The sequence below is a fragment of the Homo sapiens genome, chromosome 14 (assembly GCF_000001405.40).
Source record: "Homo sapiens chromosome 14, GRCh38.p14 Primary Assembly".
Taxonomy (NCBI): Eukaryota; Metazoa; Chordata; class Mammalia; order Primates; family Hominidae; genus Homo; species Homo sapiens.
Genome location: NC_000014.9, coordinates 33617250 through 33640419, shown reverse-complemented (window position 1 = coordinate 33640419; position 23170 = coordinate 33617250). Strand labels below are relative to the sequence as shown.

The following is a 23170-nucleotide window of genomic DNA, read 5'->3' as shown; positions in this document are numbered from 1 at the left end:
CTCAGAAATGTCAGAACATATTGTGAAGATGATCACTGCATAGACTTCAGGTAGATCTTCCAGGAAAATATTACAGGCCACTTGCCTGATGGGTACAATGTGTTTTACTAAATCTGATTTGCCTGAGAGATGGGTTCAACTGACACTCTTTTCTCTAGGGAGCAAGAAGAGGGCATCAAACAAGAGTCACGTTTGTAAATATTATACAGATAATTTTTTTTTTTTTCAACAGGGGGTCTCGCTGTCGCGATCTCGGCTCACTGCAACCTTCGACTCCTGGGTTCAAGTGATTCTTCTGCCTCAGCCTCCTGAGTAGCTGGGATTACGGACGTACACCACCATGCCTGGCTAATTTTTGTATGTTAGTAGAGATGGGGTTTTATCATGTTGGCCAGGCTGATCTCAAACTCCTGGCCTCAGGTGATCCACCCACTTCGGCCTCCCAAAGTGCTGGGACTACAGGTGTGAGTCACTGTGACCAGCCCATAGAGGTAATTTGAGAATATTATAAGCAGTAAGACAATATAGCTGAAAGAACACAAAACTATGGATGGAAGGACTTGTGCCTCAGTTCACATTTTACCACTAAATTCCTGAGGAAACTTGGTCAAGTCAGATAACACTTTTACTTTTCTCTTTTAAATGCCTACTTTCTAGTTGTTTTTGGTTAATCATGTAAGAAAGCAGATTCATAAAGAATAAATATGAACATGAAAAGCTTTATAATCTTGCTCCAACACTAATCTGGTTGCTGATGGAGAAGATGTAGTGGCAGGGCAATTTAGTTTGGGAACAGCTGAACATTGGCTCTTATGTACCTGAACTCAGAAAGAAAGGGTCACACTCCTGAACAAGAGCTAAGAGGAGAATGTATAATTTTTGACTCTTCAATCTGCCATCACGATCTCTAGTGTGAACTCCATCCTAGGAGCCATATTATGTAGCCTACCAGCGAGACCTTACACAGAAAAGCCAAATACATTATAACTTTATAAAATAAATTATAACTTTGTCTTTTTAGAAAATTATCTAGACAATTTTTTTTTAGATTGTTTCACATGTGGTTTGGTTTTTAGGGGTAGCACAATTCTTCTTATTTTAAATTTGTCTCTAGCTCCTATTTCTTGAGATTGGCCAATCCAGACAGGAGTGTGTCTACATATATATCCACCTTTGCTGATTTATTGAGCCATTGGGCTTTTGCTCTTATACTATTAGCTACAGAGGGGCTTAAACGGTCTATCTTAAACCTAGAGTGGTAATAGTTAATAGTTACCAACATTTCAAAAAGCCTGACTCTAAGGTGGTTTTCCTTAAAATGTGGTCCTAGGGAATCATGCTACGCCAAGGCTTTGGTGTATTAACCTTTGTGATGTATTACATTAGATGGGCCTTGGACACAAGTCTGAGTAGAACAAAACCAAGGTTAAATGGTGCGGTGCCTTTCTAAGTCAAATAACTTCTAAGGAATTTATCAAATATAACTTCTAGAGTGTCATTGGAGAAGTGAAAAATAATACTAGAAGTCATTGTATTCCCTGCTCGAGATTTAGGACAGTTACATTACTTTAAAATATATCTGTGTTCATGGCTGTCAGAAGAAATCCCAACAAAATCCACACATTTGCCACATCCATTACCACTGTAAATAATTGCTTTGAAATGCTTGCTCTAACAGTTACGTGGCTTCAACTTCCTCATTTGAGGCTGGACATTTCTAGTTCTGGACTGAAAGTCTTTCCCCAAGGAGCCCAGCAATGATGTTGCCCCTACCAACTGCAAAGTTCTCACTTGCAATTAAAACTACTAATGGCCAATGTCTATTGAGCACTTAGTGTGTTCATATGTGTACGACATGTACTAGACAGTCAAAATGTATATGATTTATCATTTAATCTACAGAACAGAACTACACAGCTGGTGTTATTATTTTCTCCATTTCACAGATTAGGAAACTAAGAAGAGAGAGGTTAAAAAGTTTATCCAACATCACGTAGATAGTAAGTAGAAGAACTGGGTTCAAACCCACTAGTTGCTGACTCCAGAGTATCCTTCCTGCTTTCATGCTGCCTGCATAGCTGTGCTCACAGCCAGCCATGGTTTGATAGAAGCAGATGGAGGACCAGCAGCCCATTATATCCATAAGATTATGAGTATAAAATAATTCTGGTTAAATGATCTTTAATATTAATTTAACACCAAAAACCTAAAATAAGTAATATAAAAAGGAAAAATTTGATTAGACCGAATTCAAACAGTCACTAGTGCTTGGTATGCTGAAATGTCCAATACTTTTTGCTATAATTTCTTTGATAGACCATGTCACCAACATAGAATCAGCTATCAAAAATAAGTCTGCTCAGTTTCTGGTACTTCCTTTCATAAAATGCATGCTCCTTTCAAATAATCCGCTAACCCTACCGGAACTCACAGCACGGAAAGATCACTTCATAGGAGACACATGGCATGAGGGAACACAGCCTCTGATTTGGGGTAAAGCCCAGCTCCTTTGTGGAGTAGATTCTGCATCTTAGACAACAGGGTAGGAGGCAGTGTTTTACAACCATCATATTTAGTGCAACTTCTAGATTTGTGGAAGTTTTCTTCATGCTTTGCAATCGTTCTTTATAAAAAATACATGGTAATAATGATACCTTGTTTTGTGCTTAATAATGAGACGGATAAAAACTGTAGCTGTTCATGAGTACAAAAGTAAGAAAAAAACAGCAAACAAAAAAGGTAAGTCATTTGTTGTAAGAACCTACAAATAAATTAAACCTTGCCTAAGATGTATTGATTTTATGTGGCCTCGCCTGTAGAATAATGTCAAGGGTTCCTGACAATCCATTACATTCAATAGGTAAAATCTCCTTATAACTTTTTTCCCCTTCCTGAACGATGTATAATCTATTTTTTCCTTGATGAAAAAGTAGTGCTTTATAAGCTTAGAAAAAGTTTCTTCTGATCACCTGTTCAACATCATAGGGAGAAAAATTAGTTATAATGGACTCTAATGATGTGATAGGTCAAAATTCATATATACTTTCTAAATATACAAGCTGAATCCAGCAAAGTGGAGATGATTATTAGGTCATCTTTATTATGAAATTAGAAATCATATGCCAGAGTGAGTGCTTTGCATTTTTCATTTGTGATTTCAGTATCGAAGAAGAAAACAAAAAGTTAATTATAGATTTGTGACTAATTTTCAATGAAAAAGATTGACTTCTCAATATCTTTAGAGCATTATGGGGAACTCATTTTTCACCGCCAGTACTAAAAGTCACTCCAAAGAAAACATTTAAAAAATAGTTTGTTTCTCCACAATCTAGAGAAATGCTTTTCTCAAGCCTGTAATAAAAAGATTATTTTTTACCATGAAAAAAATGTCTCTGCCTACCCTGATGCCGGAAGAAAACAAAGATAGATGTAACATTTCTAATAGAAGAGCAGATAGACCAATTCTGTTAATCTTTAAACCTGCAATTACTCTGTGTGTGTGTGTGTGTGTGTGTGCACACTCCGAGTGTCCTCCTCCTGCTGACAGCTTGGTAGCAGGAGGGAAATGAAGATGCCAAAAATTTCCTGACAACAAGATTTTCATTTTTAGTGTTTAATAGTTGTGTCTCATTTTGAAATTGGCAATTTAGGGCCCCGGTGTGCCAGGCAGTGGGTTTCTGGAATTTCACAGCCGTGTGACTCTGAGAAGGGCAGTCTGACTGGTGTGCGTTTGGGGGCCTTGCATCAAATCTTGGTGCATGGTCAAAACCTCCATGCTTTATGATTTCTGGCAGCGGCTGCCTGATTCTCAAGATTTAACCTAGACTTTCTTAGAAACTCTCCCATGCTGCCACATACCACGTAAGTGAGTGACTACATGGCAGGGTCACTGTGGCGTTAGGAAAGTCCTGACATGCCCTTGGAGTGTAACTTCAGGAGCAGGAATATCAGCTCAGGTAGAAAAGCCCATACACTAAGAAACCCTTCAATTCTAAAGAAAACCGCTATAGCTGTGCATAGCAGTTATTGATACATAGACTGGAGGCAGGCAAATAATGCAGATGCTAGCGTGAGCCTTTAATGCTGACACTGGGCAAACACTTTTTCATAAATGGATTCATTCATCCGTTCCATAAGCTGCCAGTGAACACCTATTACAGGCAGACACTGTGCAGGGTAGTGGAATAAAAAGTAAGTTAGGGCCAGGCACGGTGGCTCACGCCTGTAATCCCAGCACTTTGGGAGGCCGAGGCGGATGGATCACCTGAGGTTGGGAGTTTGAGACCAGCCTGACTAACGTGGAGAAACCCTGTCTTTACTAAAAATACAAAATTAGCCAGGCGTGGTGGTGCATGCCTGTAATCCCAGCTACTCGGGAGGCTAAGCAGGAGAATCGCTGGGAGGCGGAGATCGTGCCATTGCACTCCAGCCTGGGCAACAAGAGCAAAACTCCGTCTTAAAAAAAAAAGTTAGGTCTAGTCGTGTTTACAGTCCATGACACTTACATGTGGACATGCCACAGAGGGATGTATGTACAGGTGCTGGAAGCCAGAAAAATGATCTAATGCTGCATAAATGGGAAGGGAACATTTCACAGAGAAGAGGATCTCAAGGATTAGAAGAAATTCTCCAAGTTGGCAGGGAGTGGGGCAGAGGACAAAGAAGCCAAAGACCCCGACAAGTCCAGGGAAGGTGGGCTTCTGGAGGGTACATCAGTAGTTAGATTGCTCATACAGAACATTACATCTGGACTATGTCTGATAATGGGTGATGGCGGTGCTGGTGAACAGTTAGAGGAAGGATATGATTGATTAAACTTCAAAATGGAGGCTCAGGGAAACTTGTTGGGAGATCACTGCAATTGTCCAAAGCAAGACCCTCCCTGCTCGAGCCTCTGGGTCTGCAGCCTCTACTCCTTCCTTTCAATCCATAAACAAACCCAAGGCTTTTACATCTCGAAATGATACCTCTCTTCTAGTCTAAAATTCCCCTTGCTTTTCTTCTTCTAACTCTTCTTCCTTTCCAGCTAAGCTTTTGGAAAAAGCAATCTAAGCCTCTTATCTCTACTTCCTCACATCCAATTCCATCGACAACTCTCTGTAATCTGACTTCCATATGTCCTATTTCTCTGAAACTGCTAGCCAGAATCTCCACCAATCTGCTAATTCTCAGATGTGATGGGCATATCCCAGGCCTCTTCCTACCTGGCTCCACAGTATTCAAAATTACTGACCATTCTTTTCTTCTCAAAACACTCACCTGTCTTTAAATGGCACAATGTACGCCCTTCTGTTTCCTTTCTTCTCTGTCCATATTTTCATAAAAATCTTACCTGGGCCCCGCTTTTCTCCACCAGCTGTGTAACTGTTCTTGTGTGATACTTTCCTCAAACCAGTGCTTCTCAAACTTGAGCATATATCAGAATCTCTTAGAGGGCTGGAATCTGATGACAGGATCCCTCCTTCGGAAATTATGATTCAGTAGATATTGGGTGGGGCTCAGAATTTGCATTCAGAAAAACAAGTTTCAGGTGATGCTGCTGGCCTGGGGAACCACACTTTGAGAACCACCACCTTAAACAATCTTGTCTATGCCTGTGGCTTTGGCTAATAGCAAGACTGATGATTCACAGCCGTGGACATTCCCAAGTCTCTACCACAATGTTCCACAGGCATTGAAAACTTAACCCAATTCAGCCTAACTGAATCTCCTTTGGTCTTTCCTCCCCGTATCCCCAAACCTATTCCCCCAACTAAATTCACTACCTTGGAGAAAAGTACCTCCCACCTCACATCGCAAACTCCTAGGAATTGCTGCCTTCATAATTCTCTGATTTATATACTACTCCTGGTGCTCTCTGTTACTGTCCACATCTGGGCACCCCCTGCCCGCCTTCTTTTTTATACGTGGACTATGGCCTCAGCCCCTAAATGATCTCACTGGTTCCAGCATCATCTTTCAAAAATCTATCCTCCACATCGCTCTCAGAAATAATCTTCCTTAAATGTCACTTGGAGCAGTTCACTGTGTGTAACCTTATTTTCTGTCGCATCCTCACAGAACCCCTAAAATGCAGGCTACTGATTTACCCACAGCAAATCTGTTCCTTTGGCCCTGAACAACCTGTTAGAGTTAGTGGCTCCCCTAATGCCAATAGACAGTGCACGTATTAGGGGTAATGCTGACGTTTTAGAAACACCATGTATTTAATTTTACTAGCACTAGTGCCTGGCAAAGTGCAAGGCACCCTGTAAGAACCAACATATTTTGTGGTTTTGACCCAATTCGAGTTTCCAGGGAAGAAATAAGCTATTTCTGAAATCTCAGGCATTGTTACATCCCCTTAAAGTTCTCTGGAAACTAAATTGGCTCTGAAGGGAGAAAGCAGATTATATACAGCAGTCATGTGCCACAAAACAATGTTTCTTTTCTCTTTTTTTTTGAGACATGGTCTCACTCTGTTGCTCAGGCTGAGTGCAGTGGTGCAAACACAGCTCAATGCAGCCTCGATGTCCTGGGATCAAATGATCCTCCTACCTCAGCCTTTAGAGGAGCTGGGACTACAGGAGCACGCCACCACAACTGGCTAATTTTTTATTTTTTGTAGAGATGGAGTCTCACTATGTTGCCCAGGCTGGTCTCACTCTCCCGGGCTCAAGTGATCCTCCTGCCTTGGCCTCCCAAGGTGCTGGGATTATAGTTTGAGCCACTACTGCTGGCAATAATGTTTCAATCAACAATGGACCACTTGTAGGACAGTAGTCCCAAGAGATTATAATACTGTATTTTTACTATGCCTTTTCTATGTTTAGATACACAAATACTTACCATTGTGTTAAAGTTACCTACAGTATGCAGTACAGTAACATGCTGTACAGGTTTGTAGCCTAGGAGCATTAGGCTAGGTGTGTAGTAGGCTATGCCATCTAGGTTTGTGTAACTACACTCTATGATGTTCCCATAATGACAGAATTGCCTAATGATGCATTTCTCAGAACATATTCCCATCATTAAGCAACACATGACTGTACTTTCTCTATGGATGATCCTGGTTATCCTACTAACACATAATCCTAGGTGCTTTTATTTCAATGATAGATACAGGTGGTATTAGTTTTTTTTCAAATAAGTTTGCATTCGAGGGCATCAATTACATACAGCCATCCCTCAGTATCTTTGGGGGATTGGTTCCAGGACCTGCTGCAGATTACCAAAATCATCAGATGCTCAAGTCCCTTATATAAATTGCATGGTATATGCATATAACCTAAGCATATCCTCCCTATACATTAAATCACCTCTAGGTTACTTTTAATACTCAATACCATGTAAATGCGATGTAAATAGTTGTTATACTGTATTGTTTTTAAACTTGTGTTATTTTTTATTGTTACGGGATTTTTTTATTATTCTCAATCCATGGTTGATTGAATCCATGGATGCAGAACCTGCTGATACAGAAGGCTGACTGTGTTCTTCAGCAAGCTTGTCCTATAGGGATGGAATGATGATTTGGGCTATATTTCTGGCTTAGCTACAAGCCACCCAAACTCTATGGACTTAAGATCTTTTCCTATAAAAGAAGGTATTTGGCTTACTTAGGTCATCTCTTGAGGGCAGTTTTCAGCACATTAGTTTGGCATGATGACATACTCTCCAGTATGAGTTGGTAAAAAAGAGCGTTTCCTCTGCATGAATGCATGAGTAGTTAAGAGGCAATGGAGGAGCGTAGAGAGCTGTACAGGTAAAGCAGCACCTCTTGTGCATTACGAACTGGACTTGGATCTGTAGATCTGTGGAGAGGTGAAAAGGCCCAAACCATAGACTCTGTGGCAAGGATGGCAAGTGGAACCCAGCTCCAGCTCCGGGGGTGGGATACTTCAGTTACCCATAGAGAAAAGAGATCACTGAAGTGAAATGAATGTTATAAATACAGCAGTTAACTTTTTAGCAATTCGCATTTTTGGACACAGTGTGCTCTGAGTGTCTGTTAATTAATTCCCTTGTTTCTAATGTCTTAAGTCAACATTTTAAAAATTATAGTCTGAAGACCACCTGCATCAAAACTATTAGTTTTAAAATGCTTATTTCCAGGCCCCAACCCAGACATCCTGAATCACAAGCTCCCCAGGTGATTCTTATGAATACCGAGCTTCGAGAACAACTGTTAAATGAAAAGAACCCACTCAGGTATGGCTAAAGTTGACACGCTTAAACTCACATGGACTTGGTCAACACCTAGAAGGTCACCAACTAGTTCTTTAAGAAGGGATTACCTTTGCCTTCTTCTGCTAGTTATCAGTTACACAGATAATATCGTCAATTACAGCTTGCAAGACTAACCGGTCTTTCACAATCTATTTTCAACGTGAAATCGTCATAAGAGATAATGTCTATGCCAAGGTCTCAGATCATATTCGACAGATTCACTACTACTAGCTGGGCAGCAAGGAAGAGGATTCAGTGCCCCAAAGAGACCTTTTTCATGCAACACATGCAAATGAAGGATGCAATTAATTAAATATTTCTTTGACACTGCCCAAACGCAAATGTATCCTGCTGCTGAGCCTTCCCTTAGCTTGTTGCCACGACCATCAAATACAAACACAGTGTAGGGAAGGGTCACTGTAATATGCAATACAATAAATATATCAGTGGAAGACCAACATTAAAAGAGTTATTTGCTAATGGGCACCATGCCAGGGTTATTCAGGCAATGCTGCCTGCAGAATTCCTAAGCTGAGTTCACAAGATACAGATCGATGCACCGCCAAAGAGAGTCTATATCAATCTCCATTTCATTCATTAGCTCCCACTTCGAGCTGGTTGGCTGCTAGTTAACTCTTTAATGTGGGAGAAACTGTCAGTGTAAAGGCCACTGGGACACGTGCTCTTCCCAGCTGTACTTGACCTGTCAATATTTCTTGCAGCAGACTGTTTAAACTGGTACGGCTAATGGCAAAATGGAGACCTATGGGGTTTTGAAGGCTTTCATAGCTTTAGAATGGCTTACCATCCAATAGCAAACATTAGTAAATTCATCCCATTGCTGTATTTCTGCCTGTGTCTTACAATCCAGGTGCACACAAACTAGGATAAAATTATTTTCCATAGTTCTATTCTTGAACTCAAAGGTATTTTAGACTACACATTACGTAAATGTGGGCTCCACTACAATGAGATACTATCACACCAAGGACTTGGCTGCAGTGGAGATCATTAGTTTGTGATTCAGCTCTAAAGAAGCTCCAAACAATGAGAGAAGCAAAGCAGCACTTTCTATAAAGTTAGGATTCATTTTCAATTTGTATTGGTCCAGGGACAACTTTATTGTTGCACAGTGGAAGAAGCTGGATGCTCAGGGGGATGCTTGGTGCATGAACTATTTCAAGCCCTTCTGAAAATGTAAATAAGAGCCCTAAAACATAAAGGCATAATTACCAAAACAAAGAATAGTCTCAGACCACCAGGAATAGCTGGCTTCGCTTATCTTCTTTCTACAAATATTGAATTTACTAATTTCCCTTGCCTTACTGTTGAATAAAATCAATTTTCTCAGTAGAGCTGATCTCTGCTTTGTTTGAGGTTAGATGTGAAGTTGATATGCATCCTTAGATATACTGTTTGGGAGAAAGCCTTGAATATTTAACCCGACGTCACAGCAAGCCCTCCCTTCTCCATCCTGGGGGGGCATATATTGATTCATTATTTGACAATCAGGATTCTCCATAGGTTAATTGACATGTTTGGAATTCATGGCAAGAAAATCTGTGCATTATTTTAAAACTCCTGTCAAATTGTTTGTAGATATGGTTTGATAACAACACCTGTTTTTTCCTCTCTTGGCCAATACAATCCATTGAGAATCCTGGCTTAAAAAATTTCCCTGCAGAATTGTCAAACATATGTATTTGTATTTCATTACTTGGGTAATAGCTGATTTGCCAAGTTCATTTACTACTAGTTGCTTCTCAAACATCTCAGTGGGATAATTAAGGAATACTAAGAACTGAAACTGTACTAAGTTAGGAGGGGGCTGGAGCCATTGCCCAAATCCCAGTCCTGATTAAACTGCTGTCCAGAATTAAATATTCAGTAACTCAAATTCTCTTTTTTCTTCCTTTACTCATCATCAAGGAGACAGAGCTTTTCCACAAGTTGTGCAAAAGAGACCCCCCTCAAATTATCCACTCCAAACAGATCAAAATCCCGTAGACTTTCAAGTGAAAGGTATTTAAACTCAAAATTGACTTGGTAATGGTCTAAATGGTGCTTTCTCTCAGTGGATATACATGTGGGGAGACAAAGTAAATAGGAACTCCAGGAATATGTCCTGGAAGAGAATAAAGAAAGGCCAGGCATAGTTCAAGGTTATGGCTGAACACAGCAGCACTGATGAGAATTTGGACAGCTAAATACCCTCTCTTGAGAAATTGTGGATGTGAAGAATTCTAAAGAAGAATGCTGAAGTATGATAGCATTAGAGTTTAAATGCTCTCAAAGAATCTTGCTGGCTCATTGCACAAAGAAAAGAGATATTTTAATCATGAGCTATCTATCATCACTTGAATTTGAATGCCTGTTGTTTGAAGTCACAAGCTACCAAGTCCTGTGATGTAGGTTTTCAGGTCTAGTGCTAGAATAAAAAAGGTATGAAAATGGAAAAAAAAAAATAGAAAAACAAATGGCTGTGGACTCGACAGAAGACAGTGTGTCTGAAATGCTGTCCCTTAAATTTGGGACAAGGAGAAGTAAGGATCATACAATGGTGAGTTTCTCAGACTCTTTCCTCTGGAGAAAATGAGAATATATGAGAGTCTAGAGGGAATGTGTTAAAAAAAAAAACAAAAACAACAAAAAAAACCATTGAGGAGTACAAGCCTCACTGCTATCATTAGTTTCTTCAGTCCATCAGTTTTTCAAGTTCATACACACACTATAGAAAAGGATATCCAGGATGCAAACCAAAACTCTGTTTCAAGTGCAGGCACCAAAGTAGTAGATGGCTGAATTCTCATCAGAACAAACTCTAATGTGAAAGGGCAATTCTGATAATGATCCTCACTTATTTCTCTTTCTTCCTATAGCAATGCATATTCCTTCTTGACATATCACTGATAGACTCAAAGGGGTCCTTAAGAATTCCTTAGAGAGATCCACCTGGTTTTCTTTTTTTTTTTTTTTTGAGATGGAGTCTCGCTCTGTCACCCAGGCTGGAGTGCAGTGGCGCAATCTCCCCTCACTGCAAACTTCGCCTCCGGGGCTCACGCCATTCTCCTGCCTCAGCCTCCAGAGTGGCTGGGACTACAGGCACCCACCACCACGCCTGGCTATTTTTTTGGTATTTTTTTTAGTAGAGACGGGGTTTCACCGTGTTAGCCAGGATGGTCTCGATCTCCTGACCTTGTGATCCACCCGCCTCAGCCTCCCAAAGTGCTGGGATTACAGGCGTGAGCCACTGCGCCCGGCCCGCTCCACCTGGTTTTCTATCAACTATGCATTGGATGTTCATGGGGAAGGTATTATTGATTTCCCAAAAGTGAAAAAGTTACTGAACTTAATGCTGGCATGATCTTGTTTCTTTCTATTTCATTACGTGAGAAAATTGTATCGTTTTCTTACTCTCTCAATACCCAGGAGCCCAGGCTTAAGGAAGGGGAAACAGTTCAAACTCTTCAAATAAAATAAAAGTAAGACAGAAGAGCCAGAGAGCTTCTCTTGTCACATTTCTACAATTTCCAGCTTTCAAGCCGCCACTTACAAGCCACTTCTTGACATAATCTTTGGGCTTAAACACGTGAAACAGTGGACCAACCAGCTCAATAAAAAGACAAAGATGATATGCAACTAATGGACGGAGCATCGCAACTAGGTGTTAACACATCATTCATTGAACTAAATGCTCTTTCAAACTCTGCAGCAGAAACAATTAAAGTACTGACGGCAGTCTTAAGTTGCTTCAAATTGTCTGGCACAATTGATCCACAATTATCTTTGTACTCCCTGAAGCCCCCAAATGCTACCTTCTTCATTGACTTTACATTTTCTTCACAGTTCTCCAACCTGTGTCCTGGCATACTGAATATCTGACAAACTGAATATCCTTTGGAGAAGCCCATTGTGATAGATCTAGGAATCCTAAATATTCTATTAAAAATCTGAGCTGTATGCCCCTTGAATGCTTATAAGCAGATCTCCATAGCAAATCATATTGATTTTAAAAAGAAATCTTACTCTTTTAATAAGAAATCTTATTGAGAATTTAAAGATGAGAGTTAAACTGTAAGACAAAGAGATAACAAACCATTTTTTCCACTAGCTTCACAACGCAACATATTAGAGAATTCTGTGATGCAGGCTTTATGGCAAAGAGGCATATTCAACTTCCAAAGTGTGAACTTTAAAACCACTCATAACTGGTGTGGTCAAGGAATTTTGTTCACCATGTTTGCATTTTTGGGTCGAGTCTCTGATGGCCAATAAATACACTGCTGATAAGAGATTTTCTTGAGGGTTTATTTACATGGCTATTTGGACATCTCTTTGTTGACAAGGAAAACTCTTAAGTGGCCAATTCATCAGCATCTCTGTGAACATCCTGTGGAACACAGCACATCCAAATGTGCTTTGCTTTTAAAGCATAGTGAAAGGAATTTGTTTTGGAACATAGGCACAGATGTGTTCATCAACACTAACTTATATAAATAAATATCTTTCTAATATGTTTTTACCCTAATCTTTCTCCTTTTTGTTATTGATGTTCTTGTAGGAAACTGTGCAAAGTTATGTGCGTGAAAAACCTTCAGGATGGAGAGAATCAGCTGCCTACCTTGAACTACCTTGAATAAGGCTGCCTTTGCTCTAAGAAAACCTGAAAAGTCTTCAACTAAAAGCTGAAAAGTCTTCAACTATTACGTGAGGATCTGCAGTTGGGGTCTATGCTGTAGTGACTCAAGATCACTGATAGAACTTAAAGTCTAATTTTTTTTTCAGTTAGGTGCATCCCGATACAGAAATAGTGAAGAGTATTTTAGCTAGGACCCAAAATTGCCAAGGTTCTTGGAACTTCACAAAGGTCAAAGCTTGAACTGTGTCTGAAGAGGGTATCAGAATGTATCTTTATTCAGTACCATAGACTAAGAAAGAAAAACAACTTTATTTGTACGTTATATGAGGAATCCTCCTCATGATCTCACATTTGTTATCTTAGTTCCGTTTCCTCAACAATGCTGTGACCCAGTGTGGATTCCCATGGATCTTATTGAAAATGCTTATTAAAACTGCTACTTGACAGAAACTTTATAATTTTAGACTAATTTCTCTCCATCCCCTCTGAATAAAAATTCACATGGTCATTGAATTTTTATGTGACAATAATGCATATATATATATACGTATAAATATATATAATACTCAAATTCTTTGATGCTTTGTGTGGCTTGGAATAAATGTTAATATTACAGAGAATATGGTTGAAAGAAGTTTTGAGTATAGTACCCTTAACAAACATACTAATATTTAATACTGCAAGCTCCACTCCCACTTCATGGCACTCCCAATTCCTTTTCTCCTATTTACTTTTTATCTTTCTTATCCCTTTGTATGGATAACCTAAAATACTACAAAACTGATGTATTTGGTTTCTTTTCTACTTATTGTCTATCTATCTCCCTCCACTGGAATATAAACTCCATACAGGCAGGAAGCTTTGCTTTTTTCACTGGTGTGGCCCCAGCACCTAAAAATGGTGCCTGTCACATGGTGGGTGTTCAGTAAATATTTGTTAACAAGTGAGTAGCATCGTTAGTTTAATGCAGGCTAGCAGACATTGAATGATGTTGTCATTCTGTGCTTCCATGATGCTATCTTTCCCAATAAGTTAATGATGGCCCAATAGTCTACGTTTCATAATCACCCTGGGGAATATTGCTAAAGGTGTTAAGTATTAATTGCCTCAAACACAGTGGGACGTATACACCCCTGGAGAATTTTTAAAGTCTTGTAAAACATCTTGTACAAGAAGCACTGAATTTCATATATATTCAACATTTGGGATATTTACGTATCCTCTGTTAAGAGAAAGGCAAATTTTGGGAAATCAGTGACCTCTTCTGGAACTCAATATTGTAACTGCATGCAGTCCCCCTCTAAAGGTAAATTTTATGCAAATATTACCTTCAATACAATAAGAAATTTTAATATACTTAGATGTTTGTAGATTCGTATTCATTTTCATTCCCTCTCCCTTTGTCTCTCTCAGCATAGACACAGACATGATGTGGGAGAAAGCACTGCCAGAAAGATCCTGACATAAACGTATACACGCAAAGAGGGAAGGGGTAGAAGTCAGAAGTTCTGGGTTGTAGTTCTGGTTTTGCCATTATCTAGTCAAGTGATCTTGGCCAGTTAATTTCTCTTTGACAATTCTATTTTATCATTGGTTAACCATTTAAGATCCTTTCATTCTCTAACAAGTCTATAAGACCACAAATGGCAGACAGACAAAATGAAAGGGAGAAAATAAAGTTTACTTTTATAAATGATTCCAATAGCCTTTCACTTTTTGATGGATTGAAAAATCATGAATTCTCCTATTGCTTTATCATTTTCCATTCTTTATACCCAAATGTTATTATTATTATTTGGAGACAATATGGGTTAATATCTGGTCCCCTAACTCACAGCATTACCTTTGGTGAAGAACTATGTTGCTTATAGAATTAATCAGAGGAAATTTCAAAATAGTTTATAACATCAATCTCTTTGACAACATATCTAACCGCTTATTTCATCTTGCCTTTGGAATAATGTCAGATAGAAACATCCAGATATCTTTGGGCAAAGCTTGTTCTAACACCTGCTTTGTTACCTCCTCTACTGCATATAGTTGTTCACCAAAAACAAGCTAGTGTGGAGAATTTCATTAAAGTACCTCTGTGTCTTTAATCAGCCTGAACTCTCCTGCAGCGTCTTCAAAGGGATTCATCCCCATTTGTCACAAGCAAACCAAGGTAGCAGCTCTCCTGTTGTTACAGCAAAGGAAAGATATTTCCCTACTTGCAGCAGAATTTCCTGTATGTTGACTAACTGGAAAAGTGGTCTCTGTTATCGTGTTTATGCCTATGGTTTTATGCTCAGAATTTAAAATAAGCTGTGGATGTTTGGGATGGCTTAGGCCAATTTATATTTTATATTTTAATTAGTCAAGACAACAAGGTAATTATATTATTCCCATTTTAAAATTTAAGTAATCAAGGCAGAGCAAGTGCCAAGGTCACCAATTAGGTCCATGGTAAGACCAAGATTATAACACAAACACTGTTGGCACATTATTTATGTTTCTAATTAAATAAAAGGTCATGTTACACTAAGACAGACCCTACACAGTCAAACAGAAAACATACTGGATTGGAAATCAAACAGTATGGATTTTACCACTAATTTAATATAATACCTCATAGGTAGTTATCCAAGTTCTGGCTGTATTCATTCAATATTAATTTATTTAATAAACAAATACCCACTGTGCACACACACATGTAAGGAGTAGGCAGGAAGTAGTTTCAAGGCAACACATTGACAAGAATGTGTATAAACTAGATGCGCAAAACTTACTTAGAGAATTAAACAAATGATGATCTGATGAGGCCTTTGCTGCTCTGACTGCTTTGAGTTAACTGACATCTGGTCCTTTCATTCAAACTGAAGCTGACATAATTTACCAAAATATAAGGATGTTTTGGATTTGTGAAAACTCATTTAAAACTTTTTTCTATGTATCAATTTTCCTATGTTTAAAATAAGATGATTAATATTCTGCTTTAATTAATAGAATGAAAAAAAAAAAAAACTACATAGTTCTTCCCAAGTGCTTTGGGGGCATTCTAAACCAGTGGTTCTCTTTATTCTTTATGCCAAGGACCTCTGAGAATCTCACAAAAGTTATAAAACTTTACTCAATCATAAAAAATAGATGAACACAACATTTTATGTCAATTTCAGAGATTCACAAATCCCCCAAATCCTATCCAAAGAGACCCGGTTAGGAACCTGTGTCCTAAACCAAATGCAACACAACTTCGGGAGAGCATCCTCCTTTGATATGGTGATCTTGATTCTAGCTCTACAATCCATTTACTCCACAAATATTATTGAACACCTAGTATCTGTCACATGCTGTTCTAGGTGATGGGATATCTCGGGGAACAAAACAAAGTTTCCCCATCCCAGGAGAGTGTAAGACAGACAATCAACAAAAGCAATAACTGAATTACATGGTATGCCAGTAGGTGGCAAGTATTATGGAAAAAAATAAAGTCAGAAAGTGGTTTAGGGGTGTCAGGGAGCTTGGGGGAGGAAGTTTGCAATTTTAAATGTGGTAGTCTGAGAAACTTCACGGAGCATGTTACATTTAAACAAAGACTTCGAAAAGGAGAACAAGCGATGCCATATCTGGGAAGAGTGCTCTAGGCAGAGGAAACAGGAGTACCTGAGGAGTCCTTTTAGCATTTCTTTTTAATTTTCTTACAAGTGAAACATGAGGTTTATTATCAATTGATTCAATTGACAGATAGTCAAGTAAAGAACAAAATCATATGAGGTTGCCTGAATTATTAAGAGAGGGCAGTGCCCAGTGAGGAGGCAGGATGGCTGGATGGAAGTGAAAGACAACGAAATAATAGGAGATAACAACAGAGAAATAAAAGGTGTGTGGGGAGGAGGCCTTGGCAGGTCACAGAGGGCTTATAGCAATTTTGGCTTTTTCTCTAAGATGGGAAGGCCTTGGAGAGAGTGGAACAAAGTGACAAGATCTGACTTATGTTTGCACAGGACCATCGTGGTTGTTGGGTCGGGAGGCAAGAGAGAAAGCAGAGGCACCCATTAGGTGGCTGCAGTAGACACGCAAACACAGATGATACGACCTGAACTGCAGTGGTAGCCGTGAAGGGCTGAGAAGCAGTGAGACTCTGGATGTATTGTGAAGCTGCGTCCAAATGCTGATGTATTATACATGGGGTATGGTCAAATATGCCTCCAGTGTTATTTTGGCCTGAGTTGTCATTCACTTTGACTGCAGGGGAAATAGGGTGGGAAGTGGTAGTAAGGATGATACAAGAATTTGAAGGCTTACTGGGATACTGTCATCCACTGTCCATTGTACTTTGTGGGCTGATCTGAATTTCTCTACTTTTCTTTATGACCAGTATTTTTAGCAAAATATTGAGCTTAATATTTTTACTGTTACACTTTATAGTTGGATGGATCAGACTCTTCCCAGGAAGCCTTCCTTGACTCTACTAGCCTCCTCTGGATTCACAGTCCAGTTTGGCCATGGACTCGTTGTTTATAAAACTGTTCCCTTCATGTTACTGTAGGTCTTGATATTTTACCCCCTGAACTACACCTTAACGTCCAAAAATGCAGTAGTGTGAAGTGGTAGTCAGGATAATAAAAGAATCTGAAGGTTTACTGGGATACGATCCCACTTCCAAGCCCTCCTTTGTATCTCACCAAACATACCTAGCATGGTATTGGGTGCCGGGCAAGTAGAATTACTTAATGCATTCTTGACTGATTGGGAAAAAAAATCTCTGCAGAGTTCTTCCTTATAGCAACTTCCCTTCTTTCATTTTTACTCTCAACTATGAAAATGGAACAGCTTGAGACATCAAAGCTTTTTACAATTTGATGAAGTTTGTATAATCGGTGAAAAGATAAACCACATGCACCATATTTGCGTCTCAATACATTTCCTGAGCTGCAATCTGGATGGGAATAACTAAGGCCAACACTTGGGCAAACTCAATAGGATCTAAAATTGTGATTAATGCTACAACATTCATATCATTTATGTCTTTAAGATCTGTCAAATCTGTAGAATTTTAGTGTTTGTTCCTTTTACTATTTCTTTTTAATTTTCTCATGAGGGAAACATCAGGTTCATTATCAATTGATTCTATTGGCAGGCAGTCAAGTAAAGAACAAAATTCTATATGGTTGCCTGAATTATCAAGGGACTAGTAACTTCATCATGTTGGCACAGTAGAAAGCTGTTAAAGATTATAGTAAATGTTTCTAGCACTTTCAGTAAAATGGCTTTTTTTTTTTAGGGTTTATTTTTCCTGTTAGCTATACGGAAATCCGCTTTCTTATGGTTCCACTTTATTGACGCATCCCAATCTTGGACCCAGTAGACTTTATCTCATCTGTTGTATCTAACTAATGTTTATTTCTTTGCTCTTAGAACCGACTGGTAATCAGAGAGTTCTGAGACTGAGAACAGTGGTTTTGAACATTAGGAGAGAAAACTTGGTAAGAGAGATGGGTGAAGCAGACAGATTGCCACTTCACATCATTTCTGCTCAGGCTGCTGGATACTGGTCATTCATTGCGCCTTTCAGAGTCATTAAAATTTACCTATTTTAAATTCTGACACTGGACCTTTCTGGCTCTTTGTTTCTTTTCTTCCTCATTATGGGCTCCAAGCAGGAGTTTATTTCAAATTACTCTCCATTACAGAAATGGCATTTTGTACTGTGTCTTTTTCTGAGTGACCTTTCCCCTGTCAGAGTTTCTTCATTTCTAAAACTTGACTGCTTCAAAGAGAGGATGTGTGTGAATTTCGCCTTTACTTATGTTTTTTTCTTCTTTCATTTTTTTACCCCTTGTAGTTTGCTTATTTAGGTTTTGATAAGGAAAGAGACATTTCTCTAATTTGTGAGTTATCCAGGTCTTTTACTGTGCATTGCTCACTTTGACGTAATCTACAGATGGCTACCACATCCATCAGAAGGGAAAGATAATTATGAAAATCCATATTAGCCAATTTTGGAACTTACTAGCTATTTATATAAAAATTTAACCATAGTGGGGGTATGGAGATAGTTAATAAAATTAGATTCCTCCATTATAATACTAAAATGCACTTATGTTTTGCCTCTTGTTATAAATAATTTTTAAATATACGCACAATGATACAAGGTATGAGGACTATTAGAACTAGAGGGGAGAAGAAATCCTGGATTTCAAACTCATCTAATATGATTTTTACATGAACACTTTGGCATCCCTATCTTTTAGCTGGCAAAAAGTATTTTTTGACAGTTTAGATGTTCAAAAATTAGAAGTTAATATCACATTTAACACTTTCTTCAAGCCTAGACTTAAGTTTTATTTCTTTCATGATACTTCCTCATAAAGTATGTTTCAAGGTATCTGTAAATATGGCTTCTTCTTTTTATCTTTTTAAGAGTTCCACATCCATCTCAATTTTGTCTTTATCATCTTCAATCTCACCTTTTCACGTATTGCAGTTAGAAAGTTTGTCAGGGCAACAACTAAGTCTTAAATAACTTTAACATAGGCCATGGTCATTAGTATACTTCTCGTTACCTAGTCATTTAAATGACTCATTTGTAACGACATACATGTACAAACTTTTTACTAATGGTAAAGCATTTTCATATCTGGCCAGACTTAAGTTAGATGACATATAACCACACGTTAGCTTTAGGTTTCTCAGAAGCATCTGTTAACCAAGATCTCATGTACCAACCATTTTCTGGACCATCCTTTGTTAGATATTTGACACTCTGAGAAAAATGATTGCCTGTTTATTAGTCAAGCTGAAATAGAGTAAATCAATAAGGCCAACTTGTAGCCCAAATAAATAAATAAATAGATTTATATGCCAAGTAAACCTAAGAATGGGCATAAAACATATATTTGGTGCATTATAACTGTATGTTATGTCTATTAATGTTGATTTTTGAAATTAATTTCAAATTAAAAATTAAAATGAGGAAGACTTTATCTGAAGTCAATTTATTCTAGAAAAATAGTTAACATTCATCTTTGCCATTTCTTTGAGATCAGTCTCTCTCTATATTTGCATATTTTTGTGAATGCACACGTATATACAGCACATACACTTCTATCTTCCTGTCCTAAGAGAAACACACCTTTCTTTTCAAATAAAGAGTTTTTCTTTTTATGGGTATAAGAACAGAAGTGAGGGAATGAAGGGTCTCTACAGTTCCATTTTCATAATAGAATTCTGTTGTTCTGGAATGATTTATTTTTGAATAAGGAAAAATGTAAGGAACTTGGAACAGAGACAGAAGTACCTTCTCATCAAAGGTTGTCTATAGTTTCATGAATCACATGTGATGGATGAGATTTATGAATTAGAATCTGTGTCAAAAGATTTACAACATACTAAATTAGTTATGACATCTTCTCGTCGGTGCGCATAAACTTTCAACAAAATATCTATATCATCACCACAGGAGCATGGCCAGCCCAATTCTTTCATTTCACTGCAGCACATCCAGACCCTGTCACTGTAGTTGATGAATTCTTGAAGGAATGAGCCTCAGATCAATTAAAATAAACACCACAAGCTGATTTATCAAATATTTTCTGAATGCTCTCAGAAAATGTCAAAAATCTGATCCATTGACAGAGAAAAGTCAGAGAATCGTGGCAGCCTATGGGATCACAAGACCTTTTCAAAACCATCATAAATCACCACAGAAAACAAATGGGGCACCATGTGATAAGATTTCTTCTGACAGCTTTGCCTCAACAAGACATATATGAGATAAATGGATATCTTCGTCTATACCCAATTGCCAGTTTACAAAGTCCCAAGTTGTCAAACTGTAAAATACACCACTATCAAAGTCCTTCCCAATAATGCACCTTTTTTGGGTAGACAAGAGTGGATTTAAAATAACATCCCCTTCAGTTCTATTTTATCATTGCAAGCTACATAATGTCCCTGCTGGTGTGTGAGCTTTCTAAAAGAGCACGTGTGTGCACGTATACACACAGAGAAGGCTCCAAATTTACTTTCATATACATCCTTGTCTGAACTAATGAAACCTTCTTCACTTTCCATTATTAAAAGAAAACTGCTTTATAGTGCTAAAGTGCATCTAATCAAGGTACCCTTTGGATTTTTTTTTTTAATCATCTCAGTCTTGTCTCATTTCATATAGTTTAAGAGCACATTCAGAGACAAGCAATAATGGGCTAACCTATTCGTCCAGTCTACTTCAGGAACAGAGAAATGCTTCTATTAATGAGTTTTTGCAAATATGATCAAAACCTATAGACAAAGGTAATAGGCCTTGGATTTCACAGTAAATTTCATAGGAAATTTAAATTATATATTATGACTAATTTTTCTCAAGAGTTGGCAGATAAAATCACAGAAATGTTAGAAATTTTGTATGAGATATGAAGCTGACTTTTCTGATTCAAAGAAGCTAAAGAACTTCTATCTCAAAGTAAGACTGAAACCTGAATCAAAGAAATGGTATCTATACGTTAAAGTATATAAAGATATGAACATTTGGAAACAGTAAAAAAGAAATTAAGCCTACTCTTAAAGGTTTCAGATACTACTTAATTTTCAAAGAACAAGAAATCCAGCAGACTAGAGAACCAATTCCCTGTGCTACTCCCACAACTGACAGCACCTCACTGCTTCTCTTTCTACATTTTTACTGCCTTACTCAAATCCTTCTGGTCATGAGCCTTCTTCAACTGCGGAAGGTCTGCTTTGTTTGATTGCTAATTCAAGTTGCACTTACTAGAAAACTAAGCTTGCATTTCCAGGCCTTGCAACTTACCAGTTTCTATGAACTGTGGCAAATTAACCCATTTAAATAGTGGGAAAACATTTCATTGCTATCAAATATGTGAGAAGGGAATCTAGAATCAGGTTAGAGTAGATAACCTGAAATAGGGATCCCCAACTCCCAGGCCATAGACCGGTACCAACCGTGGCCTGTTAGGAATCGGACCACACAGCAGGAAGTGAGCAGCAGGTGAGCCAGCGAAGCTTTATCTGTATTTACAGCTGCTCCCCATTACTTGCCTTATCACCTGAGCTCCACCTCCTGTCAGATCAGCAGCAGCTTTAGATCTTCATAGGAGCATGGACCCTATTGTGAACTGTGCATGGGAGGGATCTAGGTTGCAACTACTTAAGGAGAATCTAGTGCCTGATGATTCTGTCACTCCCAGATAGGACCATCTAGTTACAAGAAAACAAGCTGAGGGCTCCCACTGATTCTACATTATGGTGAGTTGTATAGTTATTTAATTATATATTACATTATATTTTACAATATAATAATAATAGAAATAAAGTGCACAATAAAATGAAATATGCTTGAATCATCCCAAAACCATCCCTCCACCCCAGTCCATGAAAAAACTGTCTTCCATGAAACTGGTTCCTGGTGCCAAAAAGGTTGGGGACCACTGTCCTGAAACATGTACAGAACAAGATTTGATACCTCTCTGTTCAGGGTGGATATGTGAAAAAATACATTGTTTAATTTCTTTATATATAATTGATCCAAGGATTTCATTTGCTTCACAATTTGTTGAGTCCCCGCTGTGTCTCATGCACTTCCGAGTTACTGTGCCTAAAAGCTATTGCTGAGTTCCTACGCAGTTACTAGTGGAGAGATGCAAGTGTCAGCCATTTTTTTTTTCTTTAACTGCTCAGTAATCTTGAGGATATTGCCAGAGAAGTGAAATGGCAAAGACTCTTAGAGACCTCTCTTTACCATTTAAGGCATGAAAGAATGGTCTTTGTCTTTTAAGAAATAGTCAACAGTGAAGAGAAGATGCTATAAAAATCACTCTTAGCAGGATGCCTAATGTGGCACAGCCCTTGATCGCTGTGATTTACTACACTTCAGATCAGCGTAACAGCTTTTGCCCATTCATTCAGAGCAAATCTCAGGGTCACCAGTGATTACTCTAAAATGTATATTAATTTTGAGAAGGAACAGGAGTGTACATTACTTCCGATGGGCATAAAGCAAATATGCCATGTTTATTTTGGAAGCAAGAGAGATATAACAAAGGTTACAGGTGGTGAATGAAAACCATCAGCTCTTCACAGATCTTAATCCTGGCAAATACTCTTAGCTGTGGGCAGCATCTTTGTGGGAATGTGGGTGTGTGGCATTCCCCCCACCTAAATTTCCTCTCTTCTGGGATTTTCTTTCCCAAGGAGCAAGCAACGAGTTCATCCCATGGCCTTCAACTGCTCTTGTACCTTGCTAATTTCAAAATTCCGACCACAAAAAAGTACTTTGCTATGAGTCAGTAAATGGAATACATTAATAAAGCTTGAGTGTTTGGC

General features: G+C 38.4%; 1 protein-coding gene and 1 long non-coding RNA gene across 20 annotated transcripts in view; one reads left to right on the top strand and one right to left on the bottom strand.

Annotated features, from left to right (window-relative positions):
• The window catches only part of NPAS3 (neuronal PAS domain protein 3), an 869389-nt gene that overhangs the window by 163754 nt on the left and 682465 nt on the right, over positions 1-23170 (bottom strand). The gene's annotated exons all lie outside the window — the stretch shown is intronic.
• Positions 233-13302, top strand: LOC124903300 (uncharacterized). The gene is made up of 2 exons (XR_007064112.1): positions 233-491; positions 12770-13302. It is a non-coding gene; the product is annotated as an uncharacterized LOC124903300 (long non-coding RNA).